The following is a 26,047-nucleotide window of genomic DNA, read 5'->3' as shown; positions in this document are numbered from 1 at the left end:
CACATCCGTTTGGTCTGCCAGTAGGCTGGTATGGCATGCTGTAAGCCCCTATAAATATTATTTCTATTTATCCTGCTCAGTGTGTTTCCTGTAACAAATCGTTCAAGAAACTCTGGTCCCTTCATGAACATATCAAGATCGTCCATGGATATGCAGAAAAGAAATTTTCCTGTGAAATTTGTGAGAAGAAATTCTATACCATGGCTCATGTGCGGAAACACATGGTTGGTAAGTTTTTCTGCTTTTCTCTTATACCTATAATTTTCCCTTGTTCTTCTGTGTGCTTTATGCCCTGGATTGGGCAGGATATGAGGAATTGCCCTAATCAGTTTTGACATGTTGAAACTGAATGCATTATGTCTTCAGTAAGTATCACCAAATTGGATGGTATAGTCTTCCACACCCAGCTTTCTTTTCAACATTATTTTCTCTTCAGACATTACTGTTAGAGCCTCACAAAGGCCAGGTGTGGTGGCTCACACCTGTAATCCCAGCACTTTGGGAGGCTGAGGCAGGCAAATCACTTTAAGTCAGGAGTTCGGAACCAGCCTGGCAAACGTGGCGAAACCCTGTCTCTACTAAAAATACAAAAATTAGCTGGGCGTGGTGGCGCATGCCTGTAATCCCAACTACTCGGGAGGCTGAGGCAGGATAATCACTTGAACCCAGGGGGCAGAGGTTGCAGTGAGCCAAGATTGCGCCACTGCACTCCGGCCTGTGCGACAGAGCAAGACTCCATCTCAAAAAAAAAAAAAAAAAAAAAAAAGCCTCACAAATCAGTGTAGAAAATTAGGATGGCCTAATTGCTTTACAGTAGGATGCCTTTTTAGTTTGAGCTTTTTGGTGGATTTTGTTTTGACACTAAGTACATTCTGTGTTGCAGCACACACAAAAGACATGCCATTTACATGCGAAACCTGTGGAAAATCATTCAAACGCAGTATGTCACTCAAGGTGCACTCCTTGCAGCATTCTGGAGAGAAGCCCTTTAGATGCGAGGTAAGGAATGTGCTACCTACAGGCCCAGGCCTAGGGGCTAGTGTTTGCATAGATGGCGGACCAGTGAGAGAGAGGTGTGCTGGAGCAGGAGGCACAAGGCTGCCTTCCACAGAACTTTCAGACATGTGTTCTGAGCTCTGTGTGCGCTGTCACTGCAAGGTAGAAAAATGTCACTTTTAACACACTGTTAACTCTCTTAGATTAGGTTAACTTGGAAATAACACATAATGACTTATTTTTCTTTTCTCAGTGATTCTGAGAAGTCGAGTATACTTCAATGATAATTTTGTGAGGAAATTTCCCTTTTATTAGTAACTCACCTGCAGAAATATAGCAAAGCCAAATAGCTGACACAAGCAGGTTCTATTTTGAATATGAAAAATAAGCCTAGTATCAGAGACTGTGTTAGGGTGGGCTCAGGTAAAGCTACTATGCTTGGCATTCAAAAATCTCCACTGTATCCAATGCAGAACTGTGACGAAAGGTTTCAGTACAAGTACCAGCTACGCTCCCACATGAGCATTCATATTGGGCACAAACAGTTCATGTGCCAGTGGTGTGGCAAGGATTTCAACATGAAGCAGTACTTCGACGAACACATGAAAACACACACTGGTAAGAATTTCTTGGGAAAGGTACAGATAATGTCTCAAGCACTTGTTGATGATCATCTGTGGGTCTGTTTTTTAAAAAAATCAAAACCACAAATTTGCATTCAAAGCAAAAATCCCACTTTAAATAAACCTAATATGTAAAAATATAGATTAGTGATACTGAAAAATTTAACTTTAATAACTGATTGTTTAAAAAAGAATTATTTGTGAGTGCCTTTTTACTTTGAGCTCTTTTAAGACAATGGGGTCTTTACGTGGGGTTCAGAAACTCCTGAAATTGTATGAAACTTCTTTTGTGTATGTGCATGTTATTTTCCTAAGGAAAGGGTTCTGGGCCTTAAAAGGATGGAGGACACTGACTGCTTTAATAGAATACCCCTCTCTCTCTGTTTTTTGTTTTGTTTCATTTTAAGACAGGGTCTCTTTTCCATTATCCAGGCTGGAGGGCAGTGGCGCGATCTCAGCTCACTGCAGCCTCCGCCTCCCAGGCTCAAGCCATCCTCCCACCTTAGCCTACCAAGTAGCTGGGACCACAGGTGTGCGCCACCATACCTGGCTAATTTTTGTATTTTTTGTAGAGACAGGGTTTCACCATGTTGCCCAGGCTGGTCTCGATCTCCTGGGCTCAAGCGATCTGCCTGCCTCAGTCTCCCAAAGTGCTGGGATTACAGGTGTGAGCCACCAAGCCCAGCCCCTCTCATTGTTCTTTAAGTTTGATTTGATATGATTTACCAAGATTCACTACTTTTCAGGAACACATCCGTTCCAAGAGGTTAATTAATATTTTAACCACTTTGTGGTTTTAGGAGCATATGTTCCATAGCATGGATTTGAGTTTTACAAGCATCTGATTATCCTGCTTCCAGGGAACTGGCTAAAATAATAGCTCCCCCATAAACACTATCATTGTATCTCAGTCTAAACTTGATATTCTGGGATTAGCCATCTTTGCATAAATTGAACAGGATGAAACATTTTTCAGGTTTCTAAATAAAATCTAATCACAGGATTCCAGGTTCCATTAGTCTACAGAGTGGTGGAGCTAGAAAGAACAACAGAGGGCCGGGCGCGGTGGCTCACGCCTGTAATCCCAGCACTTTGGGAGGCCAAGGCGGGTGGGTCACAAGGTCAGGAGATCGAGACCATCCTGGCTAACACGGTGAAACCCCATCTCTACTAAAAATACAAAAAATTAGCCGGGCATGGTGGTGGGCGCCTGTGGTCCCAGCTACTCAGTAGGCTGAGGCAGGAGAATGGCGTGAACCCAGGAGGCGGAGCTTGCAGTGAGCCAAGATCGCACCACTGCACTCCAGCCTGGGTGACAGAGCAAGACTCCGTCTCAAAAAAAAAAGAACAACAGAGATTATCTTGCTTAGCCTGCTGTTCTTTTTACTTAACTAGTGGTGAGGAAATTCTGCCCATGGCTGGATCTCTTTAGTTCCCAGTTCTCTGTTGAAGCCCAAAGAAAAATGCCTACCTAATGGGCTTCTTTCTCATTCAGAACAGAGCACCCTCAGATTTTAAGGATTTTTAGTCTAGATGAAGAGTCATGAGAGCAGTTTTATTAGTTAAATTAGACCTGAAAAGAAAATGATAACTTTGAAGATATAGCCAAGTGGATAGCAGGATACATCAGAATAGTTAACAGATTCTCCTTATAATTTGGTGGCTTTTGGATAGGCTCTTAGTTCTAGTGTCATTTTTAGGGTTCAGGTTTTTTTGTGTGTGATACGGCAAGAAAACATGGAACTAAACAGCATAAGTTTTGGGGGGTTTTTTGGTTTTCTTTCTTTTTTTTTTTTTCCGAGATGGAGTCTTGCTCCGTCACCCAGACTGAGTGCAGTGGCACAATCTTGGCTCACTGCAGCCTCCACCTCCCGGGGTTCAAGTGATTCTCCTGCCCCAGCCTCCCTAGTAGTTGAGATTACGCGAGTTCACCACCATGCCTGGCTAATTTTTTTTTTTTTTTTTTTTTTTTTTTTTAGTAGAGACAGGGTTTCACCATATTGATGAGGTTGGTCTAGAACTCCTGACCTCAAATGATCCACCTGCCTCAGCCTCCCAAAGTGCTGGGATTACAGGCGTGAGCCAGCACCCCTGGCCAGAACATAAGTTTTTTGTGAAGGCGGAAGTTGTGTCATATTCACACACACTGCTTGGCACATAGATGCTTGGTAACTGTCACAGAATTGAAAGGAACCTCTAGCACTTAAGTCTCTGCCTCTGCATCCCCCTTATCTTCTCTGCCTGTCTCCCTGTGTGTTTTTCTCCCCATTCCTTCCTCCCTCTTTCTCTTGTATTTCTTTGTTTCTTCTTCTTTGTCATTTTTTTAGACCCTTAAATGTTCATAATGTGAAACAAGTGTTTCTTTCATGATTATTTTAGTTATTGTATAAATTTATGTTGAGTATTCGTCTTTGACCAAATAGGCAAACTGAATACTTCTTGTTTCTTCTAAAGGAATACAACTACCTAAATTCCCATCCCCCACAAAACTTTTTTTTTTTTTTTGAGACGGACTATTGCTCTGTCACCCAGGCTGGAGTGCAGTGGTATGACCTCCACTCATTGCAACCTCCACCTCCCAGGTTCAAGCAATTTTCCTGCCTCAACCTCCCAAGTAGTTGGGACTACAGGTGCGCACCACCGTGCCTGGCTAATTTTTGTATTTTTAATAGAGATGGGGTTTCACTGTGTTGGCCAGGCTGGTCTTGAACTCCTGACCTCAGGTGATCCACCTACCTCAGCTTCCCAAAGTGCTAGGATTACAGGCATGAGCCACCATGCCCAGTCCCCCAAATTTTTATCTTTCTCATTAAAAGTGTAATTCATATGCACCTGGACATGGTGGCTCATGCCTATAATCCCAGCACTTTGGGAGGCCAAGGCAGGTGGATATCTTGAGCCCAGAGGTTCGAGACCAGCCTGGGCAACATGGCAAAACCCCATCTCTGCAAAAATACAAAAGTTAGGCAGGGGTGGTGACATGTGCTTGTGGTCCCAGCTACTTGGGAGGCTGAGGCAGGGAGGATTGTTTGAACCCAAGAGATCGAGGCTGCAGTGAGCTGTGATTGTGTCACTCCAGCCTGGGCAACAGAGCAAGACCTGGTCTCAAAAAACAAAACAAACCAAAAAAAGAGTAACACATACTTATTAAAATATATGGGAAACTATGAAAATTGCAAACAAAGTAAAATCATACCACCAAGAGATCACCACTCTTAACATTTTGGCATATACACATTAAAAAAAATTCTTCAGTTTCTTAACACACATATAGACCAATACTTTGCATAAGTGTTTATGTGTTCATGTATATAGTAAAAACAAATGTTGGGTCTTTATACTCTGTTGTAACCTGCTTTTAATTTTACTGTATTATGTCATCAGCAATATAACTTTAATGGCTATATATTTCTTATAAATTTGCTATAATATTAGCTATAATTTATTACATACATATATGTCAGGCATTATCTTAAGTGCTTTTTCTCAATTAATGTAACCTTTGCAACAATCCTATAAAGTGAAGGATTTTTGTTGTTGTCGTTTGTTTGTTTTGAGATGGAGTCTCGCTCTGTTGCCCAGGCTGGAGTGCAGTGGTGCGATCTCAGCTCACTGCGACCTCTGCCTCCCATGTTCAAGCGATTCTCCTGCTTCAACCTCCTGAGTAGCTGGGATTACAGGCTCATGCTGCCACGCCCAGCCTATTTTTTTTTTTTTTTTGTATTTTTAGTAGAGATGGGGGTTTCACTGTGTTGGCCAGGCTGGTCTTGAACTCCTGACCTCATGATCTGCCCGCCTTGACCTCCCAAAGTGCTGGGATTACAAGCTTGAGCCACTGTGCCTGGCCTTTTTTTTTTTTTTTTTTTTTTTTCTTTTGAGACAGAGTCTCACTCTGTTGCCCAGGCCAGAGTGCAATGGCCCGATCTCGGTTCACTGCAACCTCCACCTCCCAGGTTCAAGTGATTCTCCTGCCTCAGCCTCTCAAGTAGCTGGGATTACAGGCATGTGCCACCACGCCTAGCTAAATTTTTATTTTTAGTAGAAACGGGGTTTCACCGTGTTGGCCAGGCTCTAAAACTCCTGACCTCAGGTGATCCACCCGCCTCAGCCTCCCAAACTGCTGGGATTACAGACATGAGCCCCACCCCTGAGCCCGGCCAGTGAAGGATGTTTTCTCCATTTATTTAGCCAGTTCCCTGCTAGACATTTATGTTATTTCTGTTTCCAGTTTTTCTACTGTTATAGATAGCCACAGGCCAGGCACAGTGGCTCACACCTGTAATCTCAGCACTTCGGGAGGCCAAGGTGGGTGGATCACTTGAGGTCAGGAGTTCGAGACCAGCCTGGCCAACACAGCAGAACCTGTCTCTACTAAAAATACAAAAAATTAGCCAAGTGTGGTGGCGCATGCCTGTAATCCCAGCTACTCAAGAGGCTGAGGCAGGAGAATCGCTTGAGCCCACGACAGGGAGGTTGCAGTGAGCTGAGATCGCGCCACTGCATTCCAGCCTGGGGGACAGAGCAAAACTCCGTCTCAAAAAAATAGCTACAATATCGTTTATCACAGTGTTATCACAGCCATAATTATTTACTTAGGATAAATTTTTGGAAGTAGGATTATTATAGCAAAGAGATATATACATTTTTAAGACTTAGTGTCATGTATTATGAAATGCCCTCCACATATACTCCCACCAGCTGTATGAAAATACTTATTTGCGACCAGGTGCAGTGACTCACGTCTGTAATCCCAGCACTTTGGGAGGCTGAGGTGAGAGGATCACTTGAGTTCAAGACCAACCTAGGCAATATAGCGAGACACCATCTCTATTAAAAACCAAAAAAAATTGAAAAAACCCAGAGGGAAAATACTCATTTGTCCAGCCCTTTATAATTGTAAATAAAATCCTTGCTGATTTGATAGGTGAGAAATGATTTCTTATATTAATTTGCATTTAATTACTAAGTAAGAGTGAACATGTTTATTTGCTTGTAGTTATCAACGTATTTTCTTTTCTGAATTGCTTGTGCCTTTTCTGTGTTCATCTTTCCATTACAGTGTTTGACTTTTTTAATTTCATTAATGTTGAAATACTTTCCCCTGGTTTGTCTATCTGCCTTTTAATATTATTCAGAGTGTCCAAACTGGAAAAGCAGCTAGATGGTGAAGTTGGACAAACCTGGCTCTGCCAGTCACTAGCAGAATTGTGTAACCTCTCTAGACCTCTGTTTTCTTGATATTAAATAAGAATGACAGTAATACCTAAAGGGTGCAGGAGAAATGCTGGTTTTAGAGAAGGATTAGCTTTAGAGAAGGAAGGGGATGCGGATAGGTCTCTAAGGCTGAATGAAACTACATTTAGAGACAGCAGTGTGTTTTGGTGGGGATTAAGGACATTGTATGAACTGACAGTATTGGACTGTTTCTTTGCAGTTAAAGAGAAATGAGGCAGACCTTATCTAGGAAGGGTGACCAGCCATCAGTCAGGGTTTACTAGGATGATGTGGACATAGGGTGAGTTCAAAATAGAATACCTACTGATTCTTCTTATACCAGGCACAGTGCTATGTGCCTAGAGACACAAGGATGAATTAAGACCTGGTTTCTGCTCTTCAGGAGCTTATAGTCTGGTGAATGGTAATGATGGTGTTGATGATGATGATAATAGCAGGTAAAATGCATTGAGTACTATGTGCCAGATACTGTTGTAAGCACTTTACCAGATACTGTTGTAAGCACTTTACCAGATACTGTTGTAAGCACTTTACCAGATACTGTTGTAAGCACTTTACTTGCGTTTTGTATCATAATAATCTATTAAGGAGATTATTATCTTTATTTTATTTATTTATTTATTTTGAAACAGAGTCTCGCTGTGTCACCCAGGCTGGAGTGCAGTGGTGTGATCTCAGCTCACTGCAACCTCCGCCTCCCAGGTTCAAGCGATTCTCCATCTCAAAAAATAATAAGATAAAATAAAATAGAATTTATGGTAATGGCAACGAATGAGATTAAAGTGATAGACAAAGTAGAACTTGGTGAATTGACTGGATATCAGTACTATCAAAATAGTATTCAATCACCAAGTTTGAATGAACTTTTTAAAATTTATTTGTTTGAATGAACTTGGTGATTGATTGGATATCAGTAGTATCAAAGGGTAGCATAGAAGGGAAGAATCAAGGGTTAGTCCCAGATGTGGGGTATAAAACTATTTGTCAAGGTAGAGAATAGTAGAGGGAAGAGCAGGTTTGCTAGATGGGATAATGAATTTAATTTTGTACTTGTTTTGAGATATCTCTGGGGCATTCACGTAAGCAGTTTGAAAAATGGGTTTAAAGTTCAAGAAAGATTTCAGTTAGATGTATATATGTAGGTATGTGTGTGTGTATATATGTATGTGTGTGTGTATATATATATATATATACACATATATATACATATATGTATATTCTGCCCAAGGATATTCACCCTAAGCAGACTGGAATGCTTGTGTTTATTGGACAGATCACATACAAAAGACAACTAGCCAAATTTTTGCTCTTTTCTATCTTCTCTGTAGGTTCTCTGTCTTCATTTATACTGTTCTTTCTTCAGACTCATTACATTGCTGTACAATTAGGTTAGCTTTATCTACATGTAACAGTTAGGTGATATAGTTAGATATATTAATATACATGCTTTTCCAGTTACCTTAATGAACTTAACTGTTACTATATCTTCTTGCCACCCATTTACCAGCTCTTCCTTAAAGTGGGACATTGTACAGGTAGTTGATTTTAAATGTTACATTTGTATTTATCCTTGTTTCACCCTCATTGTAATCTTAAACTTGAGGTTTCAGAGAAACCTTAATATCAACCATTAAACACATTTAGGAGATGCGGCCTAATGAATAATGAGATTTAGAGGCAGATGGGATTGTGGGTTAATGTCAAGTGAAGGTCTGGAACAACAAATGTGGACATTAAGAAGTGAGTAAAAGATTACTAAGCAGTAAAAAAAACCAATTTTAATTTGAATCCAGGCATTTGTAGTAGGCTAGTTCTAGTAGTTTTTGGTCTTTCTGTGGCAAATCACTTATAGTATAGAAGACTACAAATGAGGGCCAGGTGTGGTGGCTCACACCTGTAATCCCAGCACTTTGGGAGGCTGAGGTGGGCGAATCATGAGGTCAGGAGATTGAGACCATCCTGGCTAATACAGTGAAACCCTGCCTCTACTAAAAATACAAAAAAAAAAAAAAAAAATTAGCCAGGCATGGTGGCGGGCGCCTGTAGTCCCAGCTACTCGGGAGGCTGAGGCAGGAGAATGGCATGAACCTGAGAGGTGGAGCTTGCAGTGAGCTGAGATCACACCACTGCACTCCGGCCTGGGTGACTGAGCGAGACTGTGTCTCAGGAAAAAACAAAAAAAAAGAAGACTGCAAATGAGAGATGATTAGAGAGGTCCAGGAAGGGGATTTGAGCACATAAAAAACCTAAACATCCATACATTCAGTAACTGCTCAGGGAATCCATTCTGTCTGTGAGTAGTGTCTAGTGTGCCTAAGAAGTGATTAGTAAATAATGTGGAGAGGATTTGCTCATACTAGACTAAAATTCAAAGATTAGGGCCTTTGGCTGTGTTTCCATATGGCTGCTAGGTGTGAAGAATACTAACTCTGAAGTCACAGAGCAGGGGAGCTTAGAGGTTAATCAAACATGTGCTTTTAAAGTATTTTATTGTACAAGTAAATCATATTTAATTTAGAAAACAAACTACATGGCCAGGCGCAGTGGCTCACACCTGTAATCTCAGCACTTTGGGAGGCTAAGGTGGATGGATCAGTTGAAGTCAGGAGTGTGAGACCAGCCTGACCAATGTGGTAAAACCTGTCTCTACTAAAAATACAAAAACTAGCCAGGTATGGTGGTGCATGCCTGTAGTCCCAGCTACTTGGGAGGCTGAGGCAGGAGAATTGCTCAAACCCAGAAGGCGGAGGTTGCAGTGAGCCGAGATCACACCACTGCACTCCAGCCTGGGTGACAGAATGAGACCCTGTCTCAAAAAAAAAAAGATAAGCGTAAAGAATAAAACATCACCCATGATCTTATTACCTAGAGATAATCACTGGTAACATTTGTTGTATTTTTTTCTTTTAATAAATTTGGGGTCTCACTATGTTGGCCAGGCTGGTCTTGAACTCCTGGCTCAAGCAATCTGCCCTGCCTCAGCCTCCCAAAGTGCTGGGATTATAGGTGTGAGCCACTGTGGCTGGCCTGTTGTATTTCTTTCCATGTATATATATTTTTAAAAGGTAGATAATACCATGCATGCTTTTTTGTTTGTTTGTTTGTTTTTTGAGATGGAGTCTTGCTCTATCACCCAGGCTGGAGTGCAATGGCACGATCTCGGCTCACTGCAACCCCTGCCTCCTGGGTTCAAGCGATTCTCCTGCCTCAGCCTCCCCAGCAGCTGGGACTACAGGTGCGTGCCACCACACCCGGCTAATTTTTGTATTTTTAGTAGAGATGGAGTTTCACCATGTTGGCCAAGCCTGTCTCGAACTCCTGACCTCAAATGATCCGCGTGCCTCAGCCTCCTAAAGTGCTGGGATTACAGGCATGAGCCACCACACCCGTCCTCATGTATACATTTTCATAACTTGCTTTTATTTAATAGATCATAGATAAACTTAATAGATTATACATTTTGATGTTAATAATTACATTTCTGGGCCAGGCGCAGTGGCTCATGCCTGTAATCCCAATACTTTGGGAGGCCGAGGCGGGCAGATTACAAGGTCAGGAGATCAAAACCATCCTGGCTAACATGGTGAAACCCTGTCTCTGCTAAAAATACAAAAAATTAGCCGGGTGTGGTGGTACGTGCCTGTAGTCCCAGCTACTTGGGAGGCTGAGGTGGGAGAATCACTTGAACCCAGGAGGCAGAGGTTGCAGTGAGCCGAGATTGCACCACTGCACTCCAGCCTGGGTGACAGGGTGAGTCTCCACCTCAAAAAAAAAAAAAATTACATTTCTATACTTTATAACGTTGTTGTTGTTGTTCTGACACAGCATCTCTCTCTGTGGTTCAGGCTTGAGCGCAGTGGTGCAATCTCAGCTCACTGCAACCTCTGCCTCCCAGGCTGAAGTGATTCTCCCACCTCAGCTTGTTCAGTAGCTGGGACTGCAGGTGCACACCACCATGCCTGGCTAATTGTTTGTATGTTTTTGTAAAGACAGGGTCTTACCATGTTGCCCAGGCTGGTCTCAAACTCCTAGGTTTAAGCAATCCTCCTGCTTCGGCCTCCCAAAGTGCTGGGATTCCAGGTGTGAGCCACCTCACCTAGCCTGTAACATTGTTTTCAGTGGTATTTTCCATCAAACAAATATACTATAATTGATTTGCTTAATTCCATTTAACACAGAAGTTGAAGGGCTTTTGTTTGTTTTTTACTATATAGACAGGGTGCCACTGTGTTGCCCAGGCTGGTCTCGAACTCCTGGCCTGAAGTGATCCTCCTGCCTTGGCCTCCCAAAGTGCTGGGATTACAGGCTTGAAACAACACACCCTGCCAGAAGTTGAAGTTTTTAAGACGGTTAGAGGAAATCGATTAAAAAGAAGGAAAACAATCTGGGCTCAGAATTCATCCAGAAAGATGAATATGAGTCACAGTAAGGAGCCTAGCTGTGGCAGTAATTGAAGAATGAAAAGTGTAAAGAGGGCCGGGTGTGGTGGCTCACACCTGTAATCCCAGCACTTTGGGAGGCCGAGGTGGGCGGATCACCTGAGGTCAGGAGTTTGAGACTAGCATGGCCAACATGGTGAAACCCCATCTCTACTAAAAATACAAAACTTAGCTGGGTGTGGTGGCACATGCCTGTAATCCCAGCTACTCTGAAGGCTGAGGCGGGAGGATCACTTGAGTCCAGGAGGCAGAGGCTGCAGTGAGCTGAGATCGTGCCACTCATTACACTTCAGCCTGGGCGACAGAGCAAGACTCCGACTCAAAAAAAAAGCGTAAAGACAAGGGAAATATGATAGTCTTCAAATAATACTGATAGTTATGGAGAAAATTGACTCTTCAGTCTCTCAGGAAAGTGAGGAAAATTCTGGCTTCCATGGAAGAGGCCATAGGGGATGTCAGTTTTCTACTATAATGAAAAGCTGGAGACAAGAAATTTGGACTATGCTATGGGTAAAGAGGTGTTTTCTCTTAGGTATAAGAAGGGGTCCTGGAGGGTGGGAAAAAAGGAGTCCCAAAGTAGATGAGAAAGTAAGAAAATACATCCCTTCATGTGTGCAGAAATGCATGTTGAGTGATTTGTGAAATACTGTGGTTTATATGTCAAAAACATAAACTCTAGAACCAGGCTGCAGATTTTAAATCCTAACTCTCCATTAGCATATAAACTTGAGCAAGTTTATTAATTCCATTATGAGTAAAATAAGGGGTAATAATATACCTGCCTCATACAGTCACTGTGAAGATCACCAAGGTTAATAGATGTAAAGCAGTTAGCAGTGTCTGGTACACAGTAAGACCCAATACACATGAGTAGAATAAACACATTCGTTGAGAGAAGAGGGAGCAGCAAGGGAAGTGACAGCAACGCTCTTATAGCAGGAGTTAATGTGAAGAGACGAGCTATAGATATGGAGGACTGATGCAGGAATTGATCAGTACAAGCGTATGGTTCACCGAAGTGCATATACAGAAGTACTCCCCGCCTCACCTCAGCATCCCATACAAAATGATTGATGGACATATAGAATCATAAAGGATTTTATTTTCTATAGCCTGGGTAGAGAAGCAGGCAGACACAGCATGGAACTAAGCAATAAGTTCAAAAGAAAGTTAGGGAAGCTTAAAAATTAAGCCCTCAGAACCCAAACGTAATTTCCTTTCTAAATGCTCTAAGAACTATGGGATTCTGTCTCCTGTTTTGACTCGCTGGCCCACTGGTCCTCAACTAGGAGCAGTAGCCCCCAACACCCTCCCTACACCCACGGACATTGGGAAATGGCATAGCGGCATTTTTTTATTGTTGAAATCTCTTGTGGGTATTCAGTAGGCTGGCACCAGGAATGCTGGGTGCCAGATAGTCCCACATAATGAGGAATTGTCTGCAGAAATGCCATAGCACTCATTGAGAAACACTGTGGTGTGAAATTCATGTTGTAGGTTTGTTAAGCCAGTATTTTCTAAGTTCAGTGCCAAAAAGCAAGCTGTATGCTAAGGATTGTGTATGAATAGACAGGAAGAGACTTCTTTGTTCCACAGGACATTTTCAGAAAATTCTTACTTTTGTTTGGAGTATCAGAAATTGCTTACAGGGCAGGGCCTTAGCTCATACCTGTAATCTCAGCACTTTGGGAGTCTGAGGCGGGAGGATCACTTGAGCCCATGGGTTCAAGACCAGCCTGGGCAAAATTCCGAGGCCCTGCCTCTACAGAAAAAAAAAAAAAAAAAGATAGCCAGGCGTGGTAGCTGGCACCTGTAGTAGTCCCAGCTATTTGGGAGGCTGAGCTGGGAGGATTGCTTGAGCCCAGGAGGTTGAAACTGCAGCGAGCTGTGATCACACCACTGCACCCCAGCCCTGGGTGACAGAGCAAGATCCTGTTTAAAAAAGAAATTGCAGCCAGGCGCAGTGGCTCACACCTGTAATCCCAGCACTTTGAGAGGCCGAGGTGGGTAGATCACCTGAGGTCAGGAGTTCGAGACCAGCCTGGCCAAAATGGCGAAACCCCGTTTCTACTAAAAATACAAAAATTAGCCAGGCGTGGTGGTGCACACCTGTAGTCTCAGCTGCTCAGGAGGCTGAGGCAAGAGAATCATTAGAACCCGGGAGGTGGAGGTTGCAGTGAGCCAAGATTGCACCATCGCACTGTAGCCTGCGTGACAGGAGCAAAACTCTGTCTCAAAAAACTAAAAAAGAAAAAAAATTTCTTACAGATTAACTTGCCTAAATTTAAAGGCAAAGAGTCATCTAGGATATTTCCTTGAGCACAGAAAGCCATTTGAACTGTTCTTTGTGTAGGATGTAGAGGATCACTAATGTAGATGCCTTCTCCCCCATCTTTATCTTCTTCTTTTATCTAAGCCCAGATGGTAGGGTGTATGTAAGTTTTAGTTGTATCTACTGTGATCTGTTAAGTCCAAATTTGAGAGGATTTTTAAATGACTCTAGAATACAGTCTCATAGGCCAGGCGCAGTGGCTCACACCTGTAATCGCAGCACTTTGGGAGGCCAAGATGGGAGGATCACTTGAGGCCAGGAGTTCGAGACCAGCCTGATCAACATAGTGAGACCCCATTTCTATTAAAAAAAAAAAGCTTGAGCACACAATTACCACCTAATATGTTAATCATTTTTATGTCTGTGTTCATCTCAGGAGAGAAACCCTTTATCTGTGAAATCTGTGGCAAAAGCTTCACCAGCCGCCCCAACATGAAGAGACACCGCAGAACTCACACAGGCGAGAAGCCCTATCCATGTGATGTGTGTGGCCAGCGGTTCCGCTTCTCGAACATGCTTAAGGCCCACAAGGAGAAGTGCTTTCGGGTGACCAGCCCCGTGAATGTGCCACCTGCTGTCCAGATCCCACTTACAACTTCCCCAGCCACCCCAGTTCCTTCTGTGGTGAACACAGCCACAACCCCAACCCCTCCAATCAATATGAATCCTGTAAGCACTCTTCCCCCTCGGCCCATCCCCCACCCCTTCTCACACCTGCACATCCACCCACACCCTCACCACCCACACCACCTTCCCATCCCTCCAGTCCCTCACCTCCCGCCACCTCCAGCTCTCTTTAAGAGTGAGCCTTTAAATCATAGAGGCCAGAGTGAGGACAACTTTCTGCGGCACCTGGCAGAGAAGAACAGTTCAGCACAGCATCATTAACATCCGTCTCCTTAGTGTGTTCTCCAGGAGACACGTCCCCATGTGTGAGCGTGCACAGAGGGAGTCGGTGAGCATTTCCTTAGTTCTCAGACTCTCCTCCGCCTCTACCAAGAGCTTCGCCAGTGTCACTGAATCAACAGATCCAAGGGAATGAACAAGAAGACTACCTTGAGCTCACAGAGGGACTGTCATCTAAACCAGGGGAACCACTGAACTAAAGCCCAATTTGCTTGCATTTTCTGATGACTTTTATAAGTTTCAAATACTCAGACTTGTGGAATTTTATAATTTCATATCAGCTGATGAGGTATGCTTGCTTTTATATCCCAGACTTCTCCTCAAAGAGGGGATAGGCCTGGTTTCCTTTGTACTAATCGGGAAGGCTGTGAGATTAATCCAGAGCATTAATTGTATCACTGTGTATGGTAAGGAATTCTTTTCAGCTTTTGGTGCCAGCTACAGAGTTGAGCTGGCCATGTTTCACAGTATATCAAGCATTATAGAGAAAGACAGAAATTTTCTTCTTTGTGTAGCTCTCCTAACGCACTCTTTATTTTACTACAGAAATTATTTTAGAGTTTTTGTATAGACTTCTTTGGTAGTCTGTTTCTAAAATGAAATGTATTTCAATAAGCAGTGTAATTTTTTCAGTGTAGCTGAACCTATGTTGTAAAATAGAAAAAAATTTTTATAATCATCAAAATGTGATTCTTAAAGATGCATATAACTTCTATAATTCAAAGCTATTCTTACATCCGTACAACTCAAAAGGTGCTTCAGAGACTAGATGTATCTGAGAGGGTCTCCAGACCAGGTTACTGCAAAAATGAGGTTTTGCTTTCAGGATTTGGCGTAAATACTTGGTAGTTTTGACATCTCTGCTTAACACTCAAGAGAGGCTCCCTAATGTGCTCCTGTCCTCCATGTTCTGCTTGGCTTCGTTAGTGCATTACATGAAATGATTTGCAGGGGATGGGGCCTTTTCCAGGGAAGTCACCTAAAGCTTGCATGTTTTGAAAATTTGAATAAGGCTGTTTGCTGACAGGAGGAGGAAGTAGTGGAGATCATTTCATCTCAGTCACGTCTGTTTCTCACTTCCCTTAGGAATTGTGTTGATGTTTAACTTTTATGGGATGACAAATTGAAATCGCTCATTTTGAGGTTGCTTTATTTTTCTAGAATTGTTATAAGAAGCTAAAATAGTAAACTTAAAATCACAAACATGACATTGCTGATAGTGGCTGAGAAATTCAGATGAGAAGACAAATTGGTTATGAATTTTGAAATATCTATTATATGTAAAATGTGGATATGTTCACAACCTTGAGCTATTTTAACACAGTTTAAATATAGTGAGGGAAAACTCCTAAGTTTTACTGCCCTGTCCTCTGCAAATTATGTAATACCAGCATTCTTAGGCGATAAAGAGAGCAGCACCTCTAGTACCTTTAGGCAGATTACTTTTTCAAGTTTGGGGAACTTCAAAAGACCATAATCAACCAGGAGCTTATTATAGGAAAGGCTGAACAGAAGGGCTAGTGTATTGATTACACTTAACAGATCATATTTATCCAGACTCAGTATAGCTTAAAATTTTGTATTTCTTTATCTGAGAGAACTGAGTTCCCAGGCTAAATCACTTACCTCCCACCCCCTCTCCAATTTTTTTTTTAAGAGACAAGGTCTTGCTATGTTGCCCAGGCTAGAGTGCAGTGGCTATTCACAGGTGCAGTTATAGCACACTACAGCCTCCAACTCTTGGGTTCAAGCAACCCTGCCTCAGCTAACCAAGTAGCTGGGACTACAGGTGCATGCTACCATGCCCAGTCCATTTTTTAATCTTGAAATTTCTTCATTTTTCTTTCTTCGGTTTCTTAAAATCTTTGCCTGAATCAGAACGCTGGCTTTTATTTATTTTTTTATTTTTAATATTAAATGTGCAGATATGCTTCGAGCACTTTTCTAACTAATGAGCTCTGTGGTAAGAAAAAATGAACTCTTTCAATTGAGATTAAGTCCATATTTTTCAAACATCACGTTCTCTATTGGCTTTTTGGTTTAGTGTTTCTAAATTTTCTCCTTCTGATTTTGCCTGTCTTATATAATGAGCATAGGAAAATTTTGGAATGAGGCAGAAAAGTATATCAAGACATACTTCCTGGTTTTGGATGTAAGTTTTAAAGAATGGTATTTTTAATATTTGTACACATTCTTTGAGCACCCAGGTACCCAAGCCAATAAGGAAAGTTAATTCCTTGCATATGACTGTTATATCTTTAGTGGTTGTCTCCCTCTCCCTCCACAGTCTCCTTGGCATTCCATGACAAGTTTGTCAACCTACACTTTTATATAGACATATCATTATTTCATGGTCAAGCCTGTAGTATTAAAATGATTTTTTTAAAAGATGTAAACTGTGCTTAGTTAATTGGTTATATTTTGTTCTGTTTTTTTTTTTTTTTTTTTTTTTTTTTTGAGGCAGAGTCTTGTTCTGTTGCCTGGGCTGGAGTGCAGTGGCGTGATCTTGGCTCACTGCAACCCCCGCCCCCCGGGTTCAAGTGATTCTCCTGCCTCAGCCTCCCGAGTAGCTGGAATTACAGGCATGCGCCAGCACGCCCGGCTAAGTTTTGTATTTTTGGCAGAGATGGGGTTTCACCATATTGGCCAGGCTGGTCTCAAACTCCTGACCTTGTGATCCGCCCACCTCAGCCTCCGAAAGTGCTGGGATTACAGGCGTGAGCCACCACGTCCAACTGCCTTATTTTGTTCTGAATAAATTTACAGTATTGGGCAGCAATTCTGGATTCTAGACTTGAGACCACAGAATCAACCATTTCATGAGGTTGTACTGTAATTATACACTGGAATATTCAGGTAGTCATCTTTGATTTTTCATTCAAGTAAATATAGCCATAAGAAAATATCTGCTATACAGGAAAACCAGTATTAAGCAAATACCACCATCCTTAACAGAAACAAAAATATATATATATATTATTTTTAAAAATTAGCATTGTCATACAGTACAATTCTTAGTGAAGTGTATTGTGGAACAATTTAGAAACTTCCTTTTTTTCCCCTAGATTAAGGATACTTTCCTTGACTTGAGACTTGTGGTCTTCAGGAAAACTACTCAGAATATAATGACTCCTCATCAGTATCATATTGTATATAAATAATGAAATGCATTAAGAATATTCACAACATTGAACCCAGGAGGCGGAGCTTGCAGTGAGCCGAGATTGCGCCACTGCGCTCCAGCCTGGGCAACAGAGCGAGACTCCATCTCAAAAAAAAAAAAAAAAAGAATATTCACAACATTAATGCTTCTGAATAGAAGAACTGCAGGATTAAGCCTTAAACATATATGTGCAACACGTTTAACATGCTTAAGACTCAAACTCAGGGTTGAAAATTTGGTTGGGGTCCTCTTTGTAAGATAAAAGTTGCATTATGTGGTATGTTCTCTTCCATATATGCTACAGCACCCCATGAATTCTTCAAAACTTTTTACCTACTTGTTATCTGTTTATGAAAAAAAGAATTATGGAGAAGTTTGAGTTCTCAGCCCTTATCTGTACATGTCTGTTAAAGACAACAAAGGCTGCATTTAAGCATTATATAGATAACAAATTGAGGCTGTCTCTCGTTACTTAGTTTTACTGTCTTCAAAGGCTTGTATCATTGCTAGGGTTAAGACTTATTTGAGGATGAGTTGGCATTGTATTTTTTGTGTGTGTGGGTTGGTTTGTATTTGTTTCGTTTTTATTTTTCTATTTTCTCTCATAGATTTATCAGTAAAATATAAACTCTTCCTTAGCCTTAATAAAGGCTGCTGCTTTCTCAAATTGAGTCAGATAGGCTCATTCGGAGTTAGATTTTTAAATTTGAATGAAGAAAAGACAACAATTTAAAGGCATGTGGCTTCATTTCCACATATATTTGTGACTGGATTCTTATTTTTAGCAAGAGGGGAGATCGCCACAAAAAAAACTTTAGTTCAAAGAAGACTGTGCAAATCAGTTACCTGTACTTTCATAGTCTACCATTTACATTAACTGTTCTAGATTAATGACTAAGCATGGCCATTACCATAATTACATCATTTTTTTAAAACCACATTTGTTCGAAGTATCCTTTTCTAGTGGTTAGAACTGTCCCTATAATTTGATTGTCCCTCATATACTAACCGAAAGCAAAATGCTCTGATGAGATGCTTATAAACTATGAATTTTTTAATTCTTGAAATTTTTTTCAGTTTTTATGATTGTTGAATAGATATGTATGTTTAGTTCCATTATTATTTCACTGGAAGTTTTAAATTTTGAGAAGATGAAGCAGAGATAGAAATCCATTGCAGATATATGTATATTTACCCCATCTTGCAGGTTTCAGTTAGTAAAACACAGAATGATAGGTCGGTTTTAATGTTTTAAAAAAAAACTAAAAAACTAAAGTTAGAGAAACCTTTCTGTTTGAGCTACTGTATAGAAAAGACAACTTTTATTGCATTGCTGGTCCACATGATAAATATTTCAATGCTGTTCTAGACTGTATGAGAAGTACTTAATGAAAAAAGGGATACATTACATTTAAGAATTGTATCAGCTAATTACTGTTTTAAAAAAATCAACTCATTTGGAATTCTTCGGACTATAAAATTGAGCAAGTAAAGTTTGGGTTTTAATTTTCCTTTGCCTGAACCAAGATAGGAAATTACTTAAGAGTTTTTTTTTTTTTTTTTTTTTTTTTTTTTTAGGAATGAAAGGTCATAAGCCATTAGAAATAGTGGCATTATTATGCAATAACAACACCCTAGCTAACCTGCTTTTGTCATCTGTAGCACTTACAATAAAGAATGATGACCTTCCAACCCTGGACACTACCTCGATAAAGCAAACCAGAGATCCTCTCTACACTTTCTATGGAAGCCATAAAAGTTGCCATCAATATATCCACTTTCATAGTTCTATACTTTTATACTTTCTAGACTTTTTTATAGACTTTATGATCAGATCTTTTTGTCTCAGAGGATAGGTTTTGCAAGATTCAAAGGAAAATCAAACTCCTTGGTTGTTCCAGCTTTGAAGCTTTTGCTTCAGTAAATTTGTTTAAAGAACCAGATCACATACCATTTATCAAATTCTTTACTTAAGTCAGAATACTTTGCAGACATACATATTTGGAAAACAAACTGTTTCTTGTTCACTAGATAGAATCTGTATTGTAGTAAGAAACTACTTACAAGGTGGCTTTCTTTCTGCTTTGTTACTCTATGTATTACTCAATAATATATGTATGGTCACAGGTTCCTGGAGTTGTTTTATTTCTTTATGACAGACACATGAGTATGCACCTCTCTCTAATCCTCTGATGTCACTGCAGCTTCAGTCTCTCTCACTCTGTTTTTGAGTGCCTTCAAAATGCCAGCATCCTGGAACATTCTTTTCCTGATCTAAATCCTACCTCTGACTATTTCATTATCCATGAATATTGGAATTCACCCATATTCCAATGGGCTTAACTCTACAAACTAGCTAAAACCTTGGACAAGAATTTTGACCGTATTTCTGTTTTGTTCCTCCATGTCATTTTTAGGTTATATTTTTAACTTTTATTTATATCTTATTTCTTCACATATTTCGTCTCTCTGTTGAAAGATTTTATCCTTATTTGACTCTTCACTTTTTTTACTTTCACCAGAAATTTGACGTTCCTTTAAAATTAAAGGTCATTGAATGTCTTTTGAACACCTTTTTCTCAACTGAAGTCTTCCTGAATGCCTCCCCTTTCTGATGAAAGGATCCTGAGTGCTGCTGTTGCTCTGCCCTGTTCCCATGTGCCCACTCCCTTCCGTACACATTTTGCAAGACTATACTCTTTATTTTAGTCAAATTAATTTAAAATTGCTCCCTGGGTTTCTGCTCTCTCATGGCCCTGTCCCTCAAAAACTTCTGTTTACTTTTTCTAGCTGTTTTCATCTAATTTGTTTAAAATGTATGATGGATCCATAATATATGAAGGATGTAATGAAAAGGAGGTTGCAGTGTTTTATATAATATGATCGAGCACCTCCGTGATGAAACATTTAGCAATTGGCTAGTCCTTCACAGCCAGAGTGGAAGTTTGTGCTGTGGACAGGTCTTTTTACTCCCTTCCAGTTCTCCTCCAAAACTGGAGAAAAAGGAAAAAAAAAAAGAACTCTTTCAAATGAGGAGATTTGATTGCATTTTTTTAGGTGAATGAAAGCTTGGAGTTGAGCATTTGGGCCTTAGTCAGCATTTTTCCTTTCTGACTTAAAATCTCATGTCCTTTTCCTTAAAGTTAATAGTACTCAGGTTTTTAAGACTAATAACCACACAAGGTGGGTATCTAAGAAGGCAGCTGTTAATACATTCTCCATCTTTCCTGTCTGGCAACAGGAAAGATATTATTGGTGAGATAGTGCAAAATTGTGAGAATTGGTTATGTTTGATGATGAATAAATTCAAGATTTTTGAAGGCTTCACTGCTATTTGGGATGGGAAGGTGAGTTTACAAAATGAAAAAGGTAGATTTTTATGTTACAGAAATCAGTAACGGGTTTCTTGTTGTGTTAATTACCTTTCACTTGATTTGCCATGATGTTTCTTCCTCATTATTGATCTAGAAGTTTGCCTCTTGGATAGTAACTAGTAACTTAGTATCTACTTTAAAATTTGTGGCTTTTCTCTTCAGGGTCCCAGGCCATAAAACAACGGAGAGCTGTACTTGCTTGTCACTTGGAGGAACCACATCCTTGAGACAGCCTGCTGTCTTGTATGTCTTCAGTAGGAAACTTCTGACACACACATTCAAGGGAGTTCCTGCCCCTGAGAAGTGTTCCCATAGCTTTCCAGTCGCAGGTTACTTTCACACTACGTCAGCTTCTCTGGTGAGATCAGGGATGTTACATATTACTTGAAAATGATTTCATAGGAAGTGAGGATGGGGCAAGAAAGGAGGTAGAAGCTGAATTTTGCTTAACTTCAGAAGGAAATCTGATACTTGCCTTGGCTAGTTCTGATCAACTAAAGAGCCTGTGTCTGTACTGGATGTGCCAAAGAGTCAAGTTGTTTCTGGAATATCCAGCTCCTCTGAATGAACACAGCTTCCTCCCTACCTGTCTTTTATGGGTGAAAAGGGACCGTCTGATGAGCATGATAGACATCCTGTACAGGACTCAAGACTGTTTCATTGCATTTGAAAGTTGGTGGGAAGTATTTTATTCTGCTAGAGCTCCTAACCCTCCTAGAAATATCTTTTCATGCTCTATTAATTCAATTCATTAGTTTAAAAAGAAACAGTGTGACATAATTTTGGTGTTTACTTCTTAAGTTGTCTCCCCAAGGGCATATATGTAGCCTCTGAAAATGGGATGATTTCTTCTCAATCTTCCATAAATTTGAATATGCATTTTATTCATTTCTTGACATGGGCTGTGTGACTGTTTTCCATCAGCAGTTCTGGCTTTGTCCACAAGGGAGCAATAAAGTACGTTAGCTTTATTCTCAACCTTCTAAAGAAAGATCCCACTTTTAAATCTCTTCTGGAATAGCCTCTTAGCTCAAAGCTTATTCATGTATTTTGATTATTTAAGAAATTTTCCCTTATTACAAAGTCCAGTCGTCGTTCATCCCTCATGATGCCAAGCAATGATTGATGTGTGGGTGTGGAGTCCTTGTGGGTCAGGCATCTTAATTAATTAGACTTTTTACATATTGATGATCCCCAGATTGAAAGCCAGGACCTTCCCATAGGGGCGCCTTTGTGTGCTAAAGGCAGAGCAGGCAGGCTTCTCCACTCCTATCTCCTCCGCAGGCCACCACCATCACATCTATAGGAGGAACAAGAGCACTGGGGGAACTCTGGAGTATGAGTAAGGAAATGCTTCTCACCTTCTCTGCTCCAAAGAGATATCTGTTACATCAGGGAACAAGTCCTCTAGGTCAGGCACTTCCTCCTGACCAGTGCAACGGGCACTCCAGGTTAGAAACTGTGTGTGCTCCCTCTCTGTCAGTTACTTGTCTAAGGGCTCCTATCCGTGGTCATCAGCTCTCTGGCCATGAGTTCTGTTTGTGCTTATTGCAGCAGCATCTTCACAACAAACAGGTCAGTAATCAACCTGGGAAGGGAAAAGACGACAGTAAATATTACCCCCTGTAGAGCCGGGAGGCATTTACACCTGGAATGGCCTTCTTAACTGATTTCTGCCTGGCCACCTCACCCCCAGCCAAGTCTGAACCTGAGCAATACCAGGCACAGAGAGGTGTCTACTTGTAACTCCAACACTTGACAAAAAACAAAACTGAAGCTGTGATTGGTTTAGGCAGCAAGTGGCCAGGTGCAACTTGTTTGTTTTTATTTTTGTTTTCCCCAACAGTACTGAGATCACTTGCACTTTTCCTCATTTCTTAAGAAAATCCAGTTTGCTTGCCATGACTTGTTTAGCGTTAGGTTTACAAAGCTTGTTGTTGAATGTTGAATATTTGTCCAAAGGAGTTTGACAAAATAGAAGCTGCTTGGTCCCTGTTCTGCCTGCTAGGTCATAAGGATGAAGGCCATGTGGCTGGGGTACTTATGTCAAGTCCAGAATGGGGCAGTGTCCCTCTCCTACCTCTCTGCGGAGACGCAATTGAAGGTCAAGTAGACTCAGTGTAGGGCAGGCAGCTGTCATGCTGCAAAGAAGTTTAGAGGAGTCTTTGGGTTGGGGAGGTGACAGGTAGGTAGGACAGGATCTCTTAAGATGGGAAAGATACTGGGGAGAGGAGGGCTGCTTGGCCCCAGGGAACTGCAGTGAGGTGGAACTGAGCTCCGCTCCTGAATCTCCAAAGGAGCCCATGCTGCCCGGCTTCCCTGAGTCATTTTTTCCAGCATCCTGTCAGATCCCTCAATGTACTGATTTCCCCCTTGTGTTAACTATACCGATATTATTTTTTTAGCAATTGAAATGCACTTTTTTATTTCAACTCAATCATGATTTTAAGTATAAAAAATTTATAGATTGTTAAAACTACTTTTTTGTGTATTTTTAACCACTCAATGTAGCATTGTATATTTTATTCTTGTGAGACTCTGGTACAGGTGTGCCGCCTAATGATTTTTCTGAGATGCTGGGCCTTTGGATGTGTACGGTAACCAACTTAATGCTAATGTTCAAAGTAAAAAAAAAAAAAAAAAGCAGCCATATCCCCTGTGTGTCTTTCTTCATTTCTTCCTTACCCTCAGGTGACAACATTTTGAGGTCCCCCTGGCTAACAAATTGCCCTTTTTGAGAAAAATGAACAATCCTGCAGTCCTCTTCTGCTGTTATTTGTTGTTTCTAGTGATGGTAATAGGCTGACCTACCTCAAACCCTGCCTGATCTCTTCATGAATAACATGTTTTCAAGGCTGTTAACCAAAGGCAGAGTGATTAGTTCTCTCTTTGCAGCGCTGTTTGGTTTCAGTAACACTAGTTTGTTCAGCCGAGCAATAATCTGAAAGTATCCTTGAGAACAGTGTTTGGAAAAAGGATCAGGATTGGGTTCTGAACCAATTTGAAGAAAAATCAACACAGATGGAAACAGCTTACAAAGTACAGTCAGTGAAAAGCAATAATTATAAAATATGGTACTTGGGATGAGGCATCTTTCCCTACCTCTACCCCCTTCATTCAGTCATTCATTTATTCCACAAATGTTTATTAGATGCCTAATACGTGCTGGACATTGATCTGGCCACTGGGGATTCAGCAATGAGAAAGACAGGCTCTACTCTCACAGACCCTGCTTTCTAGTGGAGAAACCCTGACAATAAACAAATGATGATCTTATATAATGTCAGGTGGTGTGGGCCCTTATACTGTGAAGCTTGCCCTCAGAGCTGTGACTGTAGTCAGCTGGAAGATCAACTAGCTTCTGTCATAATAAGCCTTCCCAGCCCATAAGCCACCTGATTTTGTTCCTTCTAAGGATTCCAGTGAGGGAGTTGGGTGTATAGGAAGGAAATCTTATTGTCCAAGTTTCCCTTTGAAACCTCTTAGAATGGAATAAAACTGCCCAAATCATAGAATTGCTATTCTTTATCATCTTGTATCTCTAACTAGATGTAGATGTTAACACAGTTTCTTCATAGATACAGGGTAGGTAATCACTCCCACCTGAGTATATACTAAATAAGTGCTTTCAAACTTTCACCATGACCCCATAGCAAGAAATATTTTTACCACTACTTTGCTACTCAATACATATATATATGAGTTTATTTATATAAGTGAATAAAAGGTTCAAGAAAAATATATGTGCTGCACTTTGATATTTTCTATTTTTCTTTTTTCTTTTTTTTTTTTTTTTTTTTTTGAGATGGAGTCTTGCTCTGTTGCCCAAGCTGGAGGGCAGTGGTGTGATCTCAGCTCACTGCAACCTCTGCCTCCTGGGTTCAAGCGATTCTCCTGCCTCAGCCTCCCGAGTAGCTGGGACTATAGGCGCACGCCATCATGCCCAGCTAATTTTTGTATTTTTAGTAGAGACGGGGTTTCACCATGTTGGCCAGGATGTTCTCGATCTCCACCTCGTGATCCACCTGCCTTGGCCTCTCAAAGTGCTGGGATTACAGGCATGAGACACCGCGCCCAGCCTCTGCCTTTATTTTCCTTTCTTGAAACATGCCTGCCAAGTAAAAAGCTCAGGCTAGACCAGAGCGATGAGAGCTGTATCGAGACAAGAGTTCCCAGCTGTCCCTGCCCAGCTCCAGACGTGGGTGAGGACATCTTGGACCCACCAGCTCAGCTGACCCACAGGTAAATGCATGCTTAAGAGTCTAGGCGAGGCCGGGTGCGGTGGCTCACACCTGTAATCCCAACACTTTGGTAGGTTGAAGTGGGTGGATCACTTGAAGTTAGGGGTTCAAGACCAGCCTGGGCAACATGGCGAAACCCCATCTCTACTAAAAATACAAAATTAGCCAGGCCTGGTGGTGGGCACCTGTAATCCCGCTACTCAGGAGACTGGGGTAGGAGAATCACTTGAACCCAGGAGCCAAGATTGCACCACTGCCCTCCAGCCTGGGCAACAGAACGAGACTCCATTTCAAAAAAAAAAGTTCAGGTGAGACCAGCAGAATAACCTCTCAGCCAACCCATAGGATCATGAGATATAAACTATTATTATAGTATTATTATAAATCACTAAGATTTGGGGTGGTTTGTTACACAGCAATAGATAACTTGAAACAGCCCCCAGATTTAGGTATAAGTTACTGAAAGTTTATATCTTTGTACCAGTTCCTTGTGCAAGAAGCTTGACTTTTTTGGCCATAACTGAGTACAGGTTGAGCATCCCTAATCCAAAATTTAAAATGCTCCAAAATCCAAAACTTTTTTTTTTTTTTGAGACGGAGTTTCGCTCTTGTTGCCCAGGCTGGAGTGCAATGGTGCGATCTCGGCTCACCGCAACCTCCGCCTCCCAGATTCAAGCGATTCTCCTGCCTCAGCCTCCTGAGCCACCGCACCCGGCCGACTTTTGTTTGTTTGTTTGT

At 41.2% G+C, this 26,047-nt stretch overlaps 1 protein-coding gene and 1 non-coding gene across 12 annotated transcripts in view; both read left to right on the top strand.

Moving 5' to 3' along the window:
- Nucleotides 1–24,809, top strand: part of ZNF652 (zinc finger protein 652) — a 74,357-nt gene extending 49,548 nt beyond the window's left edge. For 9 of the 11 annotated variants that reach the window (XM_047435629.1, NM_014897.2, XM_047435628.1 and 6 more), the window contains 4 exons: nucleotides 81–228; nucleotides 884–999; nucleotides 1,470–1,614; nucleotides 14,002–23,720. In XM_047435629.1, the coding sequence (XP_047291585.1) occupies nucleotides 81–228; nucleotides 884–999; nucleotides 1,470–1,614; nucleotides 14,002–14,513 (921 nt within the window). In that variant the 3' untranslated portion in view covers nucleotides 14,514–23,720. Of the gene's footprint in view, nucleotides 1–80; nucleotides 229–883; nucleotides 1,000–1,469; nucleotides 1,615–14,001 lie in introns of all 11 variants that reach the window. The other 2 variants (XR_934423.3, NR_135579.2) reach the window with 2 other exon arrangements.
- Nucleotides 24,472–24,580, top strand: MIR6129 (microRNA 6129). The gene has a single exon (NR_106745.1). It is a non-coding gene; the product is annotated as a microRNA 6129 (primary transcript).
- Nucleotides 24,810–26,047: the final 1,238 nt, after the last annotated feature.

The sequence above is a fragment of the Homo sapiens genome, chromosome 17, assembly GCF_000001405.40.
Source record: "Homo sapiens chromosome 17, GRCh38.p14 Primary Assembly".
Classification (NCBI taxonomy): Eukaryota; Metazoa; Chordata; class Mammalia; order Primates; family Hominidae; genus Homo; species Homo sapiens.
This window is presented reverse-complemented; position numbering and strand designations above follow the sequence as displayed.